This window comes from Homo sapiens, chromosome 15 (assembly GCF_000001405.40).
Source record: "Homo sapiens chromosome 15, GRCh38.p14 Primary Assembly".
Classification (NCBI taxonomy): Eukaryota; Metazoa; Chordata; class Mammalia; order Primates; family Hominidae; genus Homo; species Homo sapiens.
This window is the reverse complement of record NC_000015.10, coordinates 98576865-98582573: the sequence shown is the minus strand read 5'-3', so window position 1 is coordinate 98582573 and position 5709 is coordinate 98576865. Positions and strand designations below refer to the sequence as shown.

Here is a 5709-nt window from a genome sequence, read left to right as displayed (position 1 = left end):
ATTAAAAAATTAATAACATTAGAGGCACTGATTTACATTTTACTTTGATGCTTACATTTTTTACATCATAGATGTTTACATCATAGAATATGTTTAAAGATCTCATCATTTTACTTTCCTATTAAAGTTGAATATAATTCAATGCTTGGCTTGAATTGAAAGCAGCAGCTAACTTTGCACATATTGTCTCATTTAATTATTATTTTTTGAGACTGAATCTCGCTCTGTCACCCAGGCTGGAGTGCAGTGGTGTGATCTCAGCTCACTACAACCTCCATCTCCCAGGTTCAAGCGATTCTCCTGCCTCAGTCTCCCAAATAGCTGGGGTTACAGGTGTGTGCCACTATGCCTGACAAATTTTTTGGTATTTTTAGTAGAGATGGGGTTTCACCGTGTTTGCTAGGCTGATCTCAAACTTCTGACCTCAGGTGATCTACCCACCTCAGCCTCCCAAAGTGCTGAGATTACAGGCATGAGCCTCCACACCCTGCCTAATTATTTTATCTTTAAAAATTTATAATCTAATTTTTTTTTCTAAATAATACCTTTACGTTTTAAAGAATTAATGAATACTGCCCATCCGTGCTGCAAGTTACCTTGATATAGGTAGCTCAGCTCCGATTTAAACCCTATTTCTATGGTACAACAGCCCCTAGTGGGGACTCAGAGAGAAGAAACCTTTACAGAGGAAAACAGAGACATTTTTATTTCATCAAAACCAAATATAAGAAAAAAAAATCAAGGGACATAGGTCTTGTTTTATCATGCGGGAAACTGCAGAATTTTTTCATGCAATTATTTTGGACTTGGAGATTTCTCGTAATGGCACAATAATTACATATCTGTGAAAAAATCCTTCCCTCCTTTTTGGGCAGTGTCACTTATTTGTCATTTCAATAGCATTTAGTTGAAGTCAGGAAGGCAAGTTTACTGTGTCAGAAAATCATCATAGTTTGCTCTGGTAGTCTATAGTGGTTAATGACACACTGGATATCATGCAGTAATGAATGCTTTTTTAAAAAATGGAGCAAAGAGTATGGAAACTAGCTATTAATTTGATATGGCGTGGTTTAGCTAATGTAACTTATTTCATTAATATTGTGTCGTTAGCCACCAAGGGAAAGTACAAGAGTTATGATATGCTGCCTTGCAAATTACTTTAAAGATGAGAAAGTGAAAGAGTGAGTGAGACAGATACAGAGATACACACACACAGAGAGAGAGACAGAGGGAGAGAGCTCTAGTCTTCTACTGTTTATGAAAGGTCTTAAGGATATATAAATATATATATCACAAAAAGGAAAGTTGAGTTTTATCATTTGAAGAGAATGGAGAAATATTAAAACAAGCAATTCAGATTTTTAAAAAATGACTAAAATATGTTCTCCAATGAAGGTTAAGGAGTTTTCTCTTAATGCACCTCCCGATGACTATAGACTATTTTAACTCTTTTCAAACACCTAAATTTAGAAAAATTCCATATAGGCTTGATTTGCCTGTGTTACACAGACTTCGTTGCTATGACAGCAACATGATACAATTATTTATTACCATGACAATCTGCTGTAGTTTTAAAAATACGTTATCTATTTTTATTAGTGTTGTCAATTGTGCCGGGAAGGGATACCACCACTTTGCCTAATCGACAGAGCCCGTAGTGCGGGGTATAAGTGGAACTCATTTAGCTGGAGAGGCAGAGCGCAGAACAAGCCAAATTCCTTGGAATCCTCAGTGACACGCACATCCCCCACTGACAACAGTGTCCTGGCCAGCTGTCTGGCTGCAGCGAGCATTCTGGCGGGGGATGTGGGCTCCATTTACGTTTTCCTTGTGGCTTCTGCTCTGCCACGTTGGGTAAGAGTCAACATTGGATAGGACTAGAAGCTCAGAGAGGCTTGCACCCGTTAAGATACCTGCTTTTCAAGAGGAGAGAGCAAAGTGTGTACTTAGTGACCAGGCTCATGGGGACTATCCTGCTCTGAGGAGGTGGCAGGGGTTGTCTGGGGTGGATTGGTGGGGCTATTATCCAACTCGAACTGTGCCAAAATGGTGCTCCGTAGTGCCCAGATCTTAGCCCACTTTCCTCTCCTCTCTCTTGCTCTCCTGTTCCCGCCAGGCTTGTAGAAAAATAATAGAAATAATATCACTTTGGGTGCTCAGTGAACGTTTTATTCAAGAAAGGAGTATGAGATTATGTGCATGTGAATCCACAATTGAGTCATCAGAAAGCAACCAGCTAGTTAAGCCATCCTGGAAAGTTAGTTTTGGTTGCTGTTTCTAAAACACAAGGTTTTCCATATATATATATATAAATACATATATATATAGAAATACATATATATATAGAAATACATATATATATATATATATATATATATATATATATATATATATATATATATATATTTTTTTTTTTTTAAGATGGAGTCTTGCTCTGTCACCCAGGCTGGAGTGCAGTGGCGCGATCTCGACTCACTGCAACCTCCGCCTGGTTTTCCTTATAAATTGACAAGATGTGTGTGTGTTACACAAAGTGCTTTAGTGATCTTAGTTCATTTGTGTCTCACCACAATCGGATGAGTGAGATGCTACTACTGATCTTTTTTTTTTTTTTTTTGAGACAGAGTCTCGCTGTTGACCAGGCTGGAGTGCAGTGGTGCAATCTCGGCTCATTGCAAGCTCCGCCTCCCGGGTTCACGCCATTCTCCTGCCTCAGCCTCCCAAGTAGCTGGGACTACAGGCGCCCGCCACTACGCCCGGCTAATTTTTGTATTTTTAGTAGAGACGGGTTTCACCGTGTTAGCCAGGATGGTCTCGATCTCCTGACCTCATGATCCACCCGCCTCAGCCTCCCAAAGTGCTGGGATTACAGGCGTGAGCCACCGCGCCTGGCTACGCGTCTTTTTTCTCACAAATGACCCAGGCTGCCCTGAGAGCAGGTGTGTCCGGGGCCAGCCACCTGACACCATGTGCTCCATGGTCCCATACACAGAAAAGGACACCCGCCCCCTCCCCAAGACCATCACAGAGAAGTGGCCCTCACAGCAATATGGTAGCACATTGGAGCTGTGCCCTTGGAGGTGGTGTAGCCTTCAGAAGGCATCTCTCCAGGAGGGCATGGGGGCTGGACCCCACTCCAAGGACCCCCAATTTGAAATGCCAAGGGTGGGTTTATAGTAGCTTTGGCACTTTAGCTGCAGATCGGCATTATAAAATATTTTTTGTGCCTGTTGAGTGTTTTATCCAAAAGATGAGTATGATATTAGTGCAATATAACATAATCTGATCATCACCAAGTAACTTATTCTGGTGTCCTGGAAATTTGTCATTTGTAAAAACTAGGCTTATTCATACAATTCAATAAGAAAGACAAAAAGACAACTCCTCGCCCTAGTAGACATGGAGAAGTGATTCTTCCTCTCCCCAACTCCCTCGCCAAAAAATCTATGCAAATGATGAATATAAACATATAATTACATATAATTAATGTTATTATTATTTTTTGAGACAGGGTCTCACTTTGTCACTTTCTCACCTAAACTGGAGTGCAGTGGTGTGATCACAGCTCACTGAAGTCTTGACTTCCTGGGCTTCAGAGATCCTCCCACCTCAGCCTCCCAAGAGGCTGGGACTACAGGCACACCACCACACCTATTTTTTTTAAGGGATGGTGTATTAGTCCGTTCTCACACTGCTATAAATAACTTCCCCAGACTGAGTAATTTATAAAGGAAAGAGGTTTAACTGACTCACTGTTCCTCATGGCTGGAGCGGCCTCAGGAAACTTACAACCATGACAGAAGGTGAAGGAGAAGCAAAGACCTTCTTCACAAACCGGCAGGAAAGAGAAGAATGAGGAGTGAAGTGGGGAGAGCCCCTTGCAAACCATCAGATCTCGTGAGAACTCACTATCACAAGAACAGCATGGGGGGACCACCCCACAATCCAATCAGCTCCCATCAGGTCTCTTCCTAGACATGTGGGGATTATGGGGATTACAACTCAAAATGAGATTTGGGTGGGAATACAGCCAAACCATATCAGATGGGGTGTCACTATGTTACCCAGGCTGGTCTTGAATTCCTGGGCTCAAACAATCCACCCACCTTGGCCTCCCAAAATGTTGGGATTACAGGTGTAAGCCACTGTGCCCAGCCAATTGTTTTTTTAAGCGTATTGTTGCTTTGATGATAATATCAAAGTTTGGCAACGACATCTGAGGTTCAACTTATTGGAAGCCCTCTAAAAAGCAGTTTAAAGATATTTATCAAAAGCTTTTAAAAACATGACTATCCTTTGTCCCAAAAGTTCTACTTTTAGAATGCATTCTGAGTACAGGAAAGGGTATCCTCAAAATTGTATACAAATGTCACTAAATACTGAACAAGCATGTTATGGCACAAGCATTAGAATGGCTACCATGAAGATATTTTATTTATTCATTTGAGACAGGGTCTTGCTCTGTCACCCAGGCTGGAGTGCAGTGGCACAATCATAGTTCATTGCAGCCATTACCCCCTGGGCTCAAGTGATCAGCTCAGCTCAGCCTCCTGAGTAGCTAGGACCACAGGCATGCAGCACCACGCCTGGCTACTTTTTTGTATTTTTTGTAGAGATGGAGTTTTGCCATGTTGTCCAGGCTGGTCTCAAACTCCCGAGCTCAAAGCAATCCAGCCACCTTGTCCTTCCAAAAGTGCTGGGATTACAGGCGTGAGCCACCATGCCTGGCCTCATAAGATATATTCTAAAGATGATTTTAAAATATCTTTAGCTGGGCTTGGTGACATATGCCTGCAATCCCAACATTTTCGGAGGCTGAGGTGGGCGGATCACTTGAGCCCAGGAGGTCAAGGCTGCATTCCATCCTCCAGCCTGGGTAACACAGCAAGACTCTCTTCTCAGGTTATTTAAAAAAAAAAAAAAAAAAAAGTTGCACCCGTAATCCCAGCACTTTGGGAGGCCGAGGCGGGTGGATTGCTTGAGTTTGAGAGTTCGAGACCAGCCTGACCAACATGGAGAAACCCTGTCTCTACTCAAAATACAAAATTAGCTGGTAGTAGTAGTGGTGCATGCCTGTGATCCCAGCTACTTGGGAGGCTGAGGCAGGAGAATTGCTTGAACCCGGGAGGTGGAAGTTGCAGTGAGCCAAGATCATGCCATTACACTCCAGCCTAGGTAACAAGAGCGAAACTCTGTCTTAAAAAAAAAAAAAAAAAAAAAAAAAAACGGAAAGGAAAGGGAAAAGGAAAAGGAAAGAAAGGATATATCCAATGATATGAAATACCACTCATGATATACTACATCAAGTTACAAATCATATTGATGACAATCATGAAAAAAATCATCATATATGCTCAGAAAACATACTGAAAGAACTTCCACACAAATGTTCACAGTAGGCTATTTCTCAGGGGTAGGGTTATAGTAATTTTTATTATATGATTTGTGTCCATTTCTCTTTTCTCTGAATTTTCTTCAGTGAACACACTTGACCTTTGTGGTAGTGAACCATCTGCTGGTACACATTCCCGCTGGAGCTGACTGTGATCAACCTGAGGGTCAGGTGACAGAGGTCACTGGTAAATCGGCAGAACCATCAGCTCAGCCTCTACTTGTCTTGTTTCAGATAAAAATAGAGTACCTGTGAACACTTGTATTCCTGTGATAGCTTTCAGTAAGGGTGACGGAATCTTAGGTATGAGTGGGTGT

The 5709-nt window shown here is 41.8% G+C and overlaps 2 annotated features.

Annotated features, from left to right (window-relative positions):
- Positions 2412 to 2912: an enhancer, noted in NCBI's record as "H3K4me1 hESC enhancer chr15:99122891-99123391 (GRCh37/hg19 assembly coordinates)". NCBI's record gives its function as "activates a minimal SCP1, AML or CMV promoter by ChIP-STARR-seq in naive H9 embryonic stem cells {active_cell/tissue: H9 hESC(naive)}" and the evidence as "EXISTENCE:reporter gene assay evidence [ECO:0000049][PMID:30033119]".
- Positions 2913 to 3413: an enhancer, noted in NCBI's record as "H3K4me1 hESC enhancer chr15:99122390-99122890 (GRCh37/hg19 assembly coordinates)". NCBI's record gives its function as "activates a minimal SCP1, AML or CMV promoter by ChIP-STARR-seq in naive H9 embryonic stem cells {active_cell/tissue: H9 hESC(naive)}" and the evidence as "EXISTENCE:reporter gene assay evidence [ECO:0000049][PMID:30033119]".